Source organism: Homo sapiens, chromosome 5, assembly GCF_000001405.40.
Source record: "Homo sapiens chromosome 5, GRCh38.p14 Primary Assembly".
Classification (NCBI taxonomy): Eukaryota; Metazoa; Chordata; class Mammalia; order Primates; family Hominidae; genus Homo; species Homo sapiens.
This window is the reverse complement of record NC_000005.10, coordinates 64,840,115-64,857,071: the sequence shown is the minus strand read 5'-3', so window position 1 is coordinate 64,857,071 and position 16,957 is coordinate 64,840,115. Positions and strand designations below refer to the sequence as shown.

At 36.6% G+C, this 16,957-nt stretch overlaps 1 protein-coding gene across 4 annotated transcripts in view; it reads right to left on the bottom strand.

The window, feature by feature from the left end:
- Positions 1-16,957, bottom strand: part of CWC27 (CWC27 spliceosome associated cyclophilin) — a 249,846-nt gene that overhangs the window by 161,692 nt on the left and 71,197 nt on the right. Inside the window, exon 11 of one of the 4 annotated variants that reach the window (NM_001318000.2) lies at positions 10,378-12,149. The exons of the other annotated variants lie outside the window; for them this stretch is intronic. Coding sequence (NP_001304929.1) covers positions 12,086-12,149 — 64 coding nt within the window. The 3' untranslated portion in view covers positions 10,378-12,085. Of the gene's footprint in view, positions 1-10,377; positions 12,150-16,957 lie in introns of those variants that run through there. 4 annotated transcript variants of the gene reach the window in all.

Below are 16,957 nucleotides of genomic sequence, written 5' to 3'. Positions count from 1 at the left end.
TCTCCAATATGGTACCTTTTCAGGGAGAATGGGCTAGAAGATGCAGTAAACCTACACGTTTCTCTTTGTTACTAAAATACTACTATTCTTTATTGCTTTTATACATTTAAAGATTTTCAACAGCATAACTTATATTTTCACCTGGGTTAATTACATAAGCTAGCAACATCTGGTCCATCACAAAGTGTTACTGTATGAAGATCATTTACCGAAATAGTAAAATTTAATGCAGAATTGATTTTCAGAGTTATAAAAAAATGGAATTTATTATAGAAATGGCTGTGTGTAGACAACTAAGTTAGTCAATTTCTACTGCTTCCAAATATTCTTCCAAATGCTTACCTTTAACTTAATTTCAACCTCTTTAAACTGCCACCTACTTAATATAATCTTTTCTTCCAATAAACATGGTATCCCTGAATGATCCAAGTCCCTAAATTATTTGTGAAATTATGTTTACAAAGAGAGCAATAAGTCACAAATTTCTTATTCCAAAATGTCACCACTAAAAAATAAAAACAAAAAAACTTGTTGAAAGGCTAAACTATTATAAGTTTAGATTAAAATTTGGGAACTACACACATACACACACACACACACACATACACACACACATACACTAAGTTTCTTAAAGACAAATACAGAAGTGGAATAACAACTCTCAAAATATAAATACAGAAAATTGTTTTCAGGGAATTTAATAAAACTGACTCCATCAGTTTTACAGTAAATTACAGTATAATATTTCTCCTAACTAGGGAAACTATTCACATTTGAAATATAGTCTACTAAAGCTTCAATTAAAATATAAGTGTATTACCATTTAAAAAAAGTATTTTAAAAAACAATTGTCCATAAGTATTGATATTGATATTAGGTGCTAGTGATAAAATTGGCCCATGAAAAGACATCTATTTGCTTTTTCAAAAGAAAATGAGTTATCTGCTTTAAAATATAATTAATATTGGAGTTTGTAGTCATCTTAAAAACTCCACAAAATCTGCATCCAAAAAGAATGATCTGTAAGCTTTTGGACTAATGAGGATGGATGGTGATGCTAATAACACTCCCCTTAAGCCAATCTTCTTCCTGATAGCTGAATTTATGTTTGACTTGTTCATATTATGGATTTCTTATGAACAGCCATTTTCTTTCTCTGTTTATCTCTTGGAGGCCTAAAACAGGAAAGAATTTCTTTCTCTAAAAGCAAGTATGAGGGGAAATGTCCAAATAAAAAAGGTTATTCCCATGTATTTGATCTGGTAGTTATTCATACCTCCACACCCTCAACTGTCTTTTTTTCTTTTAAATAAAAAAAGGAGAACCTGAAGAGTTTTTCTGTAGAAATTTTCTTGTACTCAACAAAACGTTATTGTGAAATGGTCATGATGGGCATTATTTAAGTAGGAATAGTATTACCAGATTATCCCCAACTCCTCTTTGTGTAGGCTTGCTTGGGTAGTTATTCAACAAACATTTACTTCTGTAAGTTTAAAAGACGTTCTACTTGTTCCTCATGGCACTTAGTTTTGATTCATAGGTAAAGGACAACTATACCTTACACATTTCTTATATTGCTCTCAAAGAAGCAATAAATTAACTGAAATCTCTTTATTTTAAACATAGAACTCACTGAATCTTGCTCTACATCAACATTATCTATATAATGGGAAGTAGCTACAAAGCACCTGGCTGTTTATTATGCTGACATGTTCAGAGAAAGACATGTTTTCTAGTTGCAAACACTAGTCTCTGAGAATGCTGATTTCACTCACTGCAAATAAAATACTACTGAAAACACTCTTCTGAATAATTACTTGGAGATGAAAACTTCCTGCTCTTTTCTTATTTATTCCCAAATCACTTTTTTTTCAAATATGACAACAACATCTCTTTTTCAACAGGTCTAGAATTGCTAATTGTTAGACCATTAATATTGAGGTTACCAAGCATTTATTAAAGATAGCAAAAGTTTAAACATGACCACATTCACTGTAAACTTGGCTCTCAGCACCAGTGATCTCATATCAGCCTGTAGGCATTGCAGGGGAGGAAGCAAAAAGAGAAAAAGTAAACAACACAATTCTAGACATACTAAACTAGATTTTTTTTTGACGATAAATCTTTCAAAAAAGAACTTCAAAACCCTTAATTCCAGGGTATACTAAATAGTCTTCTTACAGAGGAATTAGCATGTCTATCTTTCCCAAGTGTTATTAAAAAAAAATTCCTAGAATCAAGGAGAGAAGCAGATTACTAAAGCCATGATGGCTTATGACCCTAAGCTAGGACAGTGATGGGTATTTATGAGAATAACACATAAAAATCAACATCCATGCTGAAAACTGAAATATAGTAACAGCCGTAAGAAGAGCTATTTCTAAGATGTGTCTTTATTTCATCCTGAAGCACAGAACATAGACTGTATTAATAATCTCTATCCAAGATCAACTTTATAAAGCAAACATTATGAAAACCAAAAGTTTCAGTCCATCTCAATCATAAGCTTTTATTCAGTAGCTGTTATGTATAGTTTTTTGCACAGGGCACTGAAGTCAGAATTATGTCAATATTTCTCACACCTCTTAAAATGGTCACTATTTTAAAAAGCAGAAATAACAAGTGGTGGTAAGGATGTAGAGAAATTGGAACCCTTATGCATTGATGGTGGGAATGCAAAACGATGCAGTTGCTATGAAAAACAGTATAGCACTTCCTCAAAATATTTAAAGCAGAATGGCCACATGGCCCAGCAATCCCAAGTCTAGGTATATATTCAAAAGAATTGAAGATTTTTGCACACACACGTTGATAGCAGCATTATCCACAACAGCCAAGAGGTGGAAGCAACCTAAATGTCCATCAGCGGATGAAGGAATAAAGAAAATTTGGTATATACATAAAACGGAATGTTATCCAGCCTTAAAAAGGAAACTGATACATAGTATGACCTGCATAAACTTTGAGAAGATTACGCTAAGTAAAATAAGCCAGTCACAGAAAAGACTGCATGATTCCACTTACATGAAGTGTCTAGAGTAACTGAATTAATAGAAACAGAAAGTAGAATGGTGGCTGTCAGAGGCTGAGGGCACAGGGAAATGAGGCGTTATTTAATAGGTACAGAGTTTCAGTTTTGCCAGAGGAAAAAGTTTCGGAGTTTGGTTGCACAACAATGTGAATATACCTAACATGACTTAACTTAAAAACCGTTGATATAGTTTGGATGTTTGTCTCCTCCAACTCTCATGTTGAAATGTCATCCCCAGTTTTGAAGGTTGGCCCTGGTGGGAGGTGTTTGGGTCATGGGGGCAGATCCTTCCTGAATGGTTTGTTGCTGTCCTCCTGACAATGAGTGAGTTCTCACGAGATCTGGTTGTTTAAAACATGCTGGCTCCCCATCACCTTCCACCATAATTGTAAGCTTCCTGAGGACTTCACCCGAAGCCAAGCAGATGTTGATATCATGCTTACAGCCTACAGAACTGTAAGCAAATTAAACCTCTTTTCCTTAGACATTACTTACCCTCAAATATTTCTTTATAGCAACATAAGAATGGACTAATATAATGGTTAAGATGGTAAATTTTATGTTATATGTATATTACCATAATTAAAAATAAAAATTTCAAAAAATTTGCATTCTATGAAGGGGGGACAAGAAGATTATGTCAATGCTTTGCATATGATAGTGCTCAATAAATATGAAGAGAATTAAATTCTTGGTCATCTGTTGAAATAGGGTCGAGAAGTTTTGCAATGCTCCCTCAGGCAGAAACAGAGGTTCATGATTCAAGTCAAAAGAAGCAATAAAGTTAATTTATTATATACCCACAAATAAAACTGTCCATGTTTCAGCTTTCTGATATCACAGATTTATTCCATTTTGGACCTGGTCTACCTGTTAGAAAGTTTTTCCATATTGTTGAGCCCAAATCTGCCGCCTAGTCACTTTGACTCACCAATCCTGATTCTGTCCTTAGGAACCCTAGAGAGAATAGAAATAACCAAGTCCTTCTTTCATGTGAATACTTTTCAATGTAAGGAGTTAGGGGAGAATGCCATAATACCATAGTCTGTAGTTTCTTTGTCAGCAAGTTCATTGAATCAATGCCCTAAAGGATAGGGAATGGGACCCATACAATTCTAAGTCATTTTCTCTTAAAAGAATTCAAAATGTTGTAATTAGAAGTTTTCAAAGGAACAGTAATTTATTTCAAATTATTTATGTTTGGGTTTGCTTTTATTTGAAAATGAAAATATGAAAAGCCCTTAATTTAATTAAAAAAAAAAAAAGGTGGCCGGGAGCAGTGGCTCACGCCTGTAATTCCAGCACTTTGGGAGGCCGAGGCAAACAGATCACCTGAGGTCAGGAGTTCAAGACCAACCTGACCAACATGGTGAAACCCTATCTCTCCTAAAGATACAAAAATTAGCTGGGGCATGGTGGCAGGTGCCTGTAATCCCAGCTACTCCAGAGGCTAAGGCAGGAGAATCACTTGAACTTGGGAGGTGGAGGTTGCAGTGTGCCGAGATCACGCCGCTGCACTCCAGCCTCTGCAACAGAGACAGACTGTCTCAAAAAAAAAAAAAGGTTTTCGTCCTTTAAGCATCTGACTCTGAAAACACTGTTTGGCTCTTTTGTCCCTCCCTGAAGTAGATCTTAGATATCTAATAAATGCTGTCAGCAAAAATGCTTTGGGCTGAAGAATATGATAGAGGCATACTATTTTATTAGTAGCCATTTATTTCATTTTCATTTATGCTGGAGATTTTAGCCATTCAGTATGTATACAACCTAAAGTTATTAAAACATTTTTAGTCACTGTGATCTTTTGGTTTATTTGTGCACATAAAAACATGACCAAATACGAGGCATTAGTTAGTAGCAGATACAAAATTACTGAAGCACTCTAACCAGTTACTTATGTTTCCCTCTCTAAGAACATTTCTGTGTTTTAATACTAGTAGAAGATTATTATCTACTAGTAGTAGAAAGAGAAGTAATTCAGGTAACAATATCATGCTCTCCAAATTATACTGAAAGGCTATGTCATACACTGAAATAGTTGTTTATAAACTTTTCTGAAAATCTGGTTTCAAGAACTTAATTGAAACTGTTATTAGTTTCTAAAAGAGTTAGAATTCTCACCTTTAAAAGACAAAAGAAAACGAGTGAGATAAATTCAATATAGTTAACTTTCCAACAAAGTATCAAATAAATGAGCATTCTGCATACTTCCTTGCACTTAGTAAGTATTCAATACATCTTGAATTAAAATGAGTAAAGATTTTTACTTGGTATTGCTTAGCTAGCATCTAAATTAAATCATATAGCTAAGTTTGATGCCTTTCAAACATTTTCTAGTATTTTTTAAAATTGTAAATTGATAATTTATAATTGTATAAATTTTTGGAGTACAAAGTGATGTTATGATTTATGAATACAATGTGGAAAAATTAAATCAAGCTAGTTAACATCCATCACTTCAAATACTTAACATACTTCTGTGGTGAGAACATTAGATACTCATTTTCTTAGCCATTTTGAGATGTATAATACTCCATTGTTAACTACATTAACGATGCTGTGCAATAGAACTAAAAAACAAACCAACAACATATCACTCCTGTATGATTTTGAACCCTGTGAGCATCGTCTCCCTATTCCTCCCACCCCTCCAGCTTCTCTTACCACCATTCTACTGTGCTTCTATGAGTTTAACTGTTTGAGTCCACATATAAGTGAGAACACAGGGTATTTGTCTTTCTGTGCCTGGCTTACTTCACTTAGCATAATGTTCTCCAGTTCCATCGATGTTGCCAGTGACAGAATTTCCTTCTTTTGCAAAGCTGAAAAGTATTCCGTTGTGCATACACAATACACCACATTTTCCTTACATATTCATTTGTTTATGGACACTTAAGTTGAGTCCGTAACTTGGCGACTGTGAATAGTGCTGCAATGAACATGTAGTGTAGACATCTCTTCAACAAATGAATTTCAAATCGTTTAGGTGAATATCTAAAAGTGGTATTTCTGATTCATATAATGCTAATGTTAGATTTTTGAGGAATCATCATACAGTTTTCATAATGGCTGTACTAATTTACATTCCCACCAACAGTGTACAAGGGTTCCCTTTTCTCCACATCCTTGCCAACACTTTACTTTTTTTTGATAGCCATTCTGACAGGTGTGAGGTGATATCTCATCATGGTTTTAATTTGCATTTACCTAATCATTAGTGATGTTGAACATTTTTTCATGTATCTGTTGGCCATTTGTGTCTTTTTTTGAGAAATGTCTTTTCAGGTCCCGTCCCCAGGTTTTAATTTTTTTGTTTTGTTTTCTTGCTATTAAGTTGTTTGAGCTCCTTATATATTTTAGACATTAACCCTTTATTAGACGTCTGGCTTGCAAATATTTTTTTCCCGATTGTAGTTTGACTCTGCACACTGTTAATTGTTTCCTTTGCTGTGTGGAAGCTTTTCAGTGGATGTAATCCCACTTATCTATTTTTGCGTTTGTTACCTCTTGTCAAATCCAAAATATCATTAACTGTACTAATATGTCATTTTCCCCCTATGTTTTCTTCTGTCAGATTTACAGTTTCTGGTCTTAAGATTAAGCCTACTTATTTAGTGTTGATTTTTGTATATGGGCCCAATATCATTATTCTCCATGTGGATATCCAGTTTTCCCAAAACCACTTATTGATGAGACTATCCTTTTCCCAATGCAGGTTTTTGGCCCTTTGTCAAAAATCAATTGATCATACATGCATGGGTTTGTTTCTGAGTTTTCTATTATGCCCTTCAATTGGTTGACGGGTCTTTTTTTTTGGCCAGTACCAAGCTGTTTTAATTACTACAACTTTGTAGTATAGGTAGTATAGTTTAAAATCAGGTAGTATGATACCTCCAGCTTAGCTCTCTCTGCTCATAATTGCCTTGGCTATTTAAGGGATTTTTGTGTGTGTGTTTGTATGTAGTTTCATATGAATTTTAAGATTATTTTTTCTATTTCTAAGAAAAGTAACATTGGACTTTTCATAGTGATTGCATTAAATCCATAGATCACCATATTGGTCCATTCTCACACTGCTATAAAGAACTACCTGAGACTGAGTTATTTTATAAAGAAAAGAGGTTTAATTGACTCACAGTTCCAGATGGCTGGGAAGGCCTCAGGAAACTGACAATCATGGCAGAAGGCAAAGGAAAAGGAAGCACCTTCTTCACCAGGTGACAGGAGAGAGAGAGAGAGAGAACTGCCACACACTTTTAAACTATCAGATCTCATGAGAACTCACTATCACGAGAACAGCATGGGCAAAACCTCCCCCATGATCCTATCACCCCCCCACCAGGTCCCTCCCTTGACATGGGGGAATTACAATTTGAGACGAGATTTGGGTGGGGACATGCAGCCAAACCATATCAATGACTTTGGGTAGTGTATTAGTGTGTTCTCCCATTGGAGGTGCTGCATACTTTTAAACAACTAGATCTTGTGAGAACTCTTTCACGAGAACAGCACTAGAGGGATGGTGCTAACCCATTCATGAGAAACCACCCCCATGATCTAATCACCTCCCACCAGGTCCCAACTCCAATACTGAGGATTACAATTCAACATGAGATTTGAACAGGGACACAGATCCAAACCATATCAATTAGTATGTACATTTTAACAACATTAATTCTTCCAATACAAGAACATGTGATATCTTTCCATTTCTTTGTCTTCTTTAATTTCTTTTTACAGTTTTCAGTGTACAGGTCTTTCACCTTCATAGTTAAATTTATTCCTAATTTCTTATCTTTTTTTTTTTTTTGGTAGCTATTGGAAATAGGAGTGTTCTTTTGATTTCTTTTTCAGATAGTTCATTGTTAGTGTACAGAAGTGCTACTGCTCTTTGTGTTGATTTTGTATCCTGCAACTTTATTAGTTCAAATAGCTCTTTGGTGGAGTCTGTAGAGTTTTCTACATATAACATTGTGTTGTCAGCAAACATTCACAATGTTACTTCTTCCTTTCCTATTTGTGTGCCTTTTATTTCTTTCTCTTGGCTGTCTGCTCTGGAAAGGAATTCTAGTGCTATCTGAATAGAAGTGGTGAGAATGGGCATCCTTACCTTGTTTCAGATTTTAAGAGAAAAAGCTTTCAGCTTTTTCACCATTGAGTATATTATTAGCTGTAGGCTTCTCTTACATGGTTTTTATTGTGTTGAGGCACATTCCTTCTATACCTAATTTGGTGACTTTTTATAATAAAAGAATGTTGAATTTTATCAAATGCTTTTCCTGCATCTAGTGACATGATCACATGGTTTTTATACTTCATTTTGTTAATGTGATGTACCACATTTATTGATTTGTGTATGTTGAGTCTTTTGTGTATCTCAGGGATAAATCCCATTTGATCATGGTAGAGAATCCTTTTAATGTATAATTGAATTTGGTTTTCCAGTATTTTCTTGAGGATTTTTGCATCTATGCTCATCACGAATATTGACTTGTAATTTGCTTTTCTGGTAACATCACTGTCTGGCTTTGGTATCACAGCAATGCTGGACTCATAAAAAGGGTTTGAAAGTATTCCCTCCTCTTTGGTTTTCTGGAAGAGTTTGAGAAGGATTGATATCAGTTCTTTAAATGTTTACTATAATTCAGCTGTGAAACTACCATGGCTGTGCTTTCCTTTGGTGGGAGATCTTAAGAATTACTAATTCAATCTGCTTACTCATTATTGGTCTGTTCAGCTTCTTGGTAGGTGGTATATGTCTAGGAATTTATCCATTTCTCCTAGGTTGTCCTATATGTTGGTGCATAATTGTTTATAATAGTCTCTTATGATCTTTGGTATTTCCATGGTATCAGTTCTACTGTCTTCTCTTTTAATTTCTGATTTTATTTATTTTACCCTTCTCTCCTTTTCTCTTAAGTTAGCTAAAATCTGTCAATTTTATTTTTTCAAAAATCAACCCTTAATTTTGTTAATGTTTTGTATTATTTTTCTAGTCTCTATTTCTTTATCCCTGCTCTGATCTTTATTGTATTTTTTCTCTCCTAGCTTTAGGCTTAGTTTGTTCTTTTTCCTATTTCCTTGAGTTGTAACATTAAGTTGTTTGAGATCTTTCTCTCTTTTTTGATATTTTTTTTTTGCTATAAACATTCCTCATAGAACTGCTTTTGCTGTATCCCGTAAGTCTTAGTATGTTGTATTTACATTTTCATTTTTCCCAATATATTTTTAAATTTCCCATTTAATTTCTTCATTGACCCATTTGTTTTTAGAAACATGTTGTGCAATTTCCATGTATTTTTAAATTTTTCCAAAATTCTTCCTGTTATTGATTTCTACCTTCATATCATTGTGGTCAGAAAATATACTTAATATAATTTGAATCATCTTAAATTTGCTGGGGCTTATTTTGTTATCTAAGCTGAAGAATGTTCTGTGTGTCCTCAAGGAAAATTTGTATTCTGTTGCTGTTGAACGGAATGTTTTAATATATGTCTGTGAGGTCCCTTTGGTCAAAAGTATTGTTACAGTCCAGTGTTTCCTTATTAATTTTCTGGATTGCTAATCTGTCCATTTTTGAAAGTGAGGTATAGAAGTCCCCTGTTGTTATTGTGCTGCAATCTATTTCTCCCTTCAGATCTTTTTATCTTTGTTTTATATATTTAGATGCTCCAATGTTAGATGCAAACATATTTATAATTGTTGTATCCTTTTGGTAAATTGACCCCTTCATCATTGTGTAATGTCCTTTGTCTCATTTTATGGGTTTTGACTTAAAATCAACTTTGTCTTATGTATGTATAGCTACCCCTACTCTCTTTTGGTTTGAATTTGCATGGAATATCTATCTATCCCTTCAGCTTCCATCTATGTGTATCCTTAAAAGTGAGATGTATCTTTGTATACAGTATATAGCTAAGTCTTGTTTTTTAATCCATTCAGTAACTGTCTTTTTATTAGAGCATTTAATCCATTTATAAGCAAGGTAATTATTGATATGTAGGATGTACTATTGCCATTTCCTTTTTCTTTTTTTTTTTTTTTTTTGAGATGGAGTCTTATTCTGTCACCCAGACTGGAGTGCAGTGGTGTGATCCTGGCTCACTGCAACCTCCACCTCCTGGATTCAAGCGATTCTCCTGTCTCAGCCTACCGAGTAGCTGGGATTACAGGTGCATGCCACCACGCTCAGCTAATTTTTGTATTTTTAGTAGAGATAGGGTCTCACCATATTGGCCAGGCTGGTCTCAAACTCCTGACCTCAAGTGATCCGCCTGCCTCGGCCTCCCAAAGTGCTGGGATTACAAGCATGAGCCACTGTGCCCGGCCTATTGCCATTTTCTTAGTTTTTTTCTGGATGTTTGGTAAATAATTTTTTTTGTCTTCCTCCCTTGCTGTCTTCCTTTGTGATTTGATGGTTTTCTATAGTGGTATGCTTTGAATCCTTTCTATTTTTGCTTTATATTTCCACTAAAGATTTTTGCTTTGTGATTACCATGAGGTTTACACAGAACATCTTATAAACAATCAAGTATAAACTGATAACAGCTTATAAACAATCAAGTATAAGCTGATAACAACTTAACTTTGCATACAACAATTAACTTTGCATACAACAATTCTATACTTTTTCATACCCCCTCAACATTATGTTTTTAATGGCAGAATTTACATCATTTTTAATGTGTATACCTTGATAATTTATTTTAGCTATAGCTGCTATTAATATTTTTGTTTTTTGACTCATGTACTAGGGATGAAATTGCCTTATGCACCATTATTACAGTCCTACAGTTTTCTGAATATGGCACTATTTTACATATACCATTGAGTTTTGCAATTCATATGTTTCATGAAACTGAGGGAGAAAGTATTATTTCCTTCTCAATTATGAAAGATAGCTTTGCTGGGTTAAGTATTCTTGATTGGTAGTTTTTGTGTTTGTTTTCCTCCGGCATTTCAATTATATTATGCCACTCTCTCCTGGCCTACTGGGTTTCTGCTGGGAAATCTGCTGATAGTCATATTGTCTCCTTTGTATGTGATGTGTTTATTATCTCTTGCTGTTCTCAAAATGTTTTGTCTTTGATTTTTGACAGCTAGATTATTGTATGCCTTGGTGTACTCCTCTGTGTGTTGAATTTGATTGAAATTTCTGTGCTTCTTGTACCTGGATATTCACATCTATTCCCAGATTAGGGGATTTTTCAGTCATTCTTTCCTTAAATAGGCTTTGTGACCCTTTTTCTCTTTCTTCTTTTGCAAATCCTAGTATGCAAAGGTTTGAACTCTTGATGGTGTCTCATAAGTCCCATAAGCTTTCTTCATTCTTTTTCACTCTTTTGTCTTTCTGGTCCTCTAACTGGATAATATCAAATGCTGTCTTCCAGCTCATTGATTCTTTCTTCTGCTCTATCAAATCCACCAATGATGCTTTCTATTGAATTTTTCAGTTCAGTCATTGTATTCCTCAACTCTAGAATTTATATGTGTTTCTTTTATATTGTTTCTATTTCTGTCAAACTTGTTATTTTTGTTAGGTATCAGTTTCCAAATTTTATTACATTTTCTATCCATATATTCTTGTACATCACTGAACATCTTTATGAGTAGTATTCTAAATTCTTCCTCAGTCATTCCAAATATCTCCGTTTCTTTGGGGTCCATTACTGAAGCTTTATTAGTTTCTTTTGGGATTTCTTTTGTTCTTTGTAGTTCTTGTGTCCTTGTGTTATTGTCTATGCATTTGAGGAGAAAGCCCCCTCTTCTAGCCTTTACAATAGGTGTTCTTTGGCATGGATAGAGGTTCACTATTTAGTTTAGCCTGGGAAGGGCCAGCTGGTGATGATCCCAGGGAGTCAGAGCTTGTTGGGAGTTCTCTAATTTGCTGGGCAGATGCCTTTCCTCTGATGTTACATGGGGCTGCTGGATAGACTCCACTGTCTGGTGAGATCAGTGGCTGGGCTCTGCTATTAGGCAGAGTTAATGGCTAGAAACTGTGATGGCTTCTCATCAGGCCAGTTGCAAGTTGTATTCCCTGGATGGGCAATTCTGCTATTTGAGATCTGCAGTTGGGCCGGGCTGTAGGCTGGGCTCCAAGGTTAGGCAGAGTAATTTCCTGGGAGAGGAGAAATACCAGAAGCTGTACCCCTTAGAAATGCACAATTGAGGATTACCTCCCTATCAGGGTAGAGCCATGGGATTGCTTTGTGGCAGAGTTGAGTGGCTGTTTGACTGCCTGGGTCAAACAGGTCTAGGCTCTATGCTTCTCTAAGATGCGTGAAAGTGGAAATCTCCCTGCCTATGCAAAGTCACTGGAATGGCTTATTGGCTGAATGGAGCCACTGCTTGAGCACCCATGTCAAGTCAGTCTAGACCATTTAATTCTCTGAAATTCATAAAGGTGGAGAGTCTCTCTGCCTGGGTGGGGTTGTAAAGCAGGTTTTTTGGCTGAGGGTGAGGGGAGCTGCTGCTTGACTTCTCAAGTCAAACTGGTATAGACCCTTCACTTCTCCAAAATGGGAGGAAGTGGGCATCCCCCTGCATATGCAGGTCACAGAGGTGGGCTCTGAGGCTGGGTGGGAAACTAGCAGCCTAAGGACTCAAGCTAGGATGAACTTCCCATCTTCCTTCTCAAGGCAACTAGCTTAGCTTTGGGGGTCAACTATGAGGTTGGCTGGTATCTGTGACCAGGCATCACAGCTGTCAGGAACACAGAGGTACTGTCAAGATCCATGCACTGGTCAATATGACCTCTGCCTCCTTTATTTCTACCCGACTCCAGGCAGTCTAGCCATGCTGATTGCTTCGGAGTGGGTTTCATAAGAAGCATATCAGAATGCTAGGTATGCTGGATGACTGCATCCAATTCCCTTCCCCCCTGTTGAAATTCTGGGTTCAGGGAAAAAAATCTCCATCTGGTGTTGTGCTTGACTTAAGGGAAGGGGAGGGGCAGCACTGTTGGAATAAGACCGTTCTTACACTTCTAATTCAGGTTTTATTCAGTTATGAAAATCATGCAGGTATCTCAGGCTTGTTTCCAAGTGTAGCAGTTTTCAAAAGGATGCTCTAGTCTAGTCTAGCTGAACTTTGTGGGTCGGGGCTGCGGGGTGGCGGAGGGGCAGCAGTGGGAGGCAGGGCATGGAAGTGGAGCTTGAGACTTCCTCTTCTGTTATTTTGCTGATGTCACTAGGCACCAGACCCTGTACATTTTAAAAAATCATGTAGGTATTTAAATGACTATAACTATACTTCCATTTTGATTTTCCAGCACTATAAAAAATTCTGTTAATGTTTAGAAAAAGATAAGCAAGTAATTTTTAAGTGCCTGTGAACTTCTCCAGATTAAAATCTACCAATTCATTTCACTTGTTTGCCTAGAAAATAAGGTTTTTCTCTTCTGTTATAATTCTTCCTACTAGATATAGATATGTCAAAACATTTACATAATATTATATTTTAATTGGGTGGAGGATAAAAAGTGGACTGATTTCTGGATACTGCTAATCTCTCCTGGGAGTTATGTCATTAGTGGAATTTGTTTGAGACTAAACCTACAAATAAAATGCATTAACACTTCAAAAAACTGTCTCAATGTGAGTTAATTAGAATTGAGATGTTAATATCAATACTCCCACATATGTGCAGCAAATCCTTGATTCTATTCTCTCTTTCCGAGAAAGTGGCTATCTTTAACTTTTTCTATTGTTGTGAATCTGGAAGTCAAAGAAAGGCTCTCTTGAGTTTCCTGATAACATATGGTAGTGGGCTTTTCAGAGTCACAAAATAAATGAAAACAGTAGAGGTATTAAAATCTTAGAAAATCTCAGAGTTCTTGCTGAACAAATAAAGCTAATGTCTGGCAAAAATACTTACTATCTTCCTTTGTACTGAGATATACAACTGACAACCAGTGGACTGAGGCTTTTCAAGAAATATCATTTTAGAAAAACACAGATAAATCAAAAAATCCTTACACAAAACCTTGAAAGAGTAAACCTTGTAACATTAACATTAATGGAGATTGATTATTCTTACATAAATGATTCCTTTTAAGGTGAAACATTACAAAGGACTTGAAGACTGAGATTTAGGGTTTATTGGCAAAAGAATCTTGAGAAACAATTAGAACTTGAAAAAGGCCGGGTAGGGTGGCTCACGCCTGTAATCCCAGCACTTTGAGAGGGTGAGGGTGGGCGGATTGCTTGAGTCAGGAGTTTGAGACCAGCTTGGGCAACATGGCGAAACCCCATCTCCACCTAAAATACAAAAAATAAGCCGGGCATGGTGGTGTGCACCTGCAGTCCCTGCTACTTAGGAGGCTGAAGTGGGAGGAATTGCTTGAGCCTGGGAAGCGGAGGCTGCAGTGGGTCAAGATCATGCCACTGCACTCCAGCCTGGGTGACAGGGCAAGATCCTATCTAATTAAAAAAAAAAATAGGCTGGGAGCAGTGGCTCACGCCTGTAATCTCAGCACTTTAGGAGGCTGAGGAGAGTGGATCACGAGGTCAGGAGATCGAGACCATCCTGGCTAACATGGTGAAATCTCGTCTCTACTAAAAATACAAAAAATTAGCCAGCATGGTGGCGGGTGCCTGCAGTCTCAGCTACTCAGGAGGCTGAGGCAGGAGAATCGCTTGAACCCAGGAGGCAGAGGTTGTAGTGAGCTGAGACCACGCCACTGCACTCCAGCCTGGGTGACAGAGTGAGACTCTGTCTCATAAATAAATAAAAATAAAATAAAACATCAATGTAGGAAAGGCCAGATTGAAGCCTACAAGTAGGGAATTCAGTTATATTACACTATTGTAAACCAGGGGTAAGCAAACTTTCTGTATAGGACCCGATAGTACTAAATAAATATTTTAGGGTTTGTAGGCCACATGGTCTCAATCACAACTACTCAAATCTGTCATCGTAGCATAAAAGCAGCAATAGACAAAATGTAAAAGAATGGCTATATTCTATTAAAACATTTCAAAAATAGATGGCAGGCTGTATTAGGTCTGTAGTCTGCAGTTTGTCAACTACTATTTTAAGTCAAAAGTAAATACCTAAACTTGGCTGGGCGTGGTGGCTCATGCCTGTAATCCCAGCACTTTGGGAGGCCAAGGTGAGCGGATAACCTGAGGTTGGGAGTTCGAGACCAGCCTGACCAACATGGAGAAACCCCATCTCTACTAAAAAAGAATACAAAAATTAGCTGGGCATGGTGGCACAGGTCTGTAATCCCAGCTACTCAGGAGGCTGAGGCAGGAGAATCGCCTGAATCCAGGAGGCGGAGGTTGCAGTGAGCCGCGATTGTGCCATTGCACTCTAGCCTGGGCAACAAGAGCAAAACTCCACCTCAAAAAACAAAAACAAAAACACAAAACAAAGAAAACCTAAACTTGGCAAATACAGAGGTAACAAAGATATAAAAAAAGACTCTTAAATATTTATGTGGAAGATCTGATAGGTTTTGGTGACTGACTAGATGTAGTGATAGATATTACAGAAATAAGACTTCAGGATGACTTTCAAATTTCTAGCTTGGTAACTAGGTGGGTAAGGGTATATTCACTGAGAGAGGGAATCTAGAACAGTGCTATGTTTTAAATGTCCCCTCCAAAACTCATGTTGAAATTCAAGTGCCATTGTGATGGTATTAAGTGGTGGGATCTTTACGAGGTGATTAGGCCATGAGCAATCTGCCCTCATGAGTAGATTAATGCCATTATCATGTGAATAGGTTCATCATTATGGGTGTGAGCTCCTGAAACAAGATGTTTGGACTTATTTCCTCCCTCTGTCTTGCACCCTCACTTGTCTTTCAGTCTTCCATCTTCCTCCTCCTACCATGGGCTAACAAAGCACAAAGGCTCTCGTCAGATGCCAGCACCATGGTCTTGGACTTCCCAGCCTCCAGAGCTATAAAGCCAAACAAACTTCTGTTGCTTATAATGACCCATTCTTTCATATTCTGTTATAGCAGCAGAAAATGGACAAAGATAGACAGGGTATAAATTTGGTAAGAATGATTACAATTTCTGTGTTGGAAATGTTGAATTTGAAGTCCCTGTGGGACACCTAATTGAGATAGCTATAGCATGCTTTTCTACCTTCACAATGTGTCAGTCCCCACATCCTGTCAATTCTCCCTTACAAAGCTCTCAAATTTCTTTGGTATCCAGTCCCCTTACCCCTGGCCTAGCCATTCCCAATGCCTTGATTAGCCCCTTATGATCCGGCCTCAAAACTGATTTCCAGACTTCAAGCCTCAGGGCCTTCTAATCCACTGTTCATATTTAGGCCAAAGAAACCATTCTAAAATATGAATCTGATCATGCCCCTTCCATGCTGAAAATTCTTCAGTAGCTCCCCAACAAAATACAAGTTCTTTTATGATTTGACTACTGTCTACTTACTGTAAACTAACAGTAACAAACAATAGCATTAATAGCTATCTTTTGCATTTATGTGGTACATACTGTTACCTTCAGCTGAAAAAAACCTGCCTCATAGAAAGACTTGTAAAATTATGCCAAAATATTAAGAGTTCTATGCAGATAGAAAAAAAGTTTTTTTTCCATTTTTACCTGCCTCTGTTTTCTAAAATGTCCTTAATAAGTATATATATATATATATATATATATATATATATATATTTTTTTTTTTTTTTTTTTTTTTTTTTTTTTTTAATGAAAAAGGATAAAAACACACAAAGGCCAACAACAATCAACCCTCTTTTCTGCCAACTCCTTCTGCTCAGTCCTTGGGAAAGTTTCATCTTCCCATCCCTTGAGGACATTGCTTGGGTGCAGCAGTAATTCCTCTACTGTCTGGCTCCTGCTGTTGGTCTTCGTCATCTCAGCTTCTGCAGTGCTCACTTCTCTACTTGGCACACTAAGCCACTTTTTCCCACCACACTGACTACTTGGCTCCTAA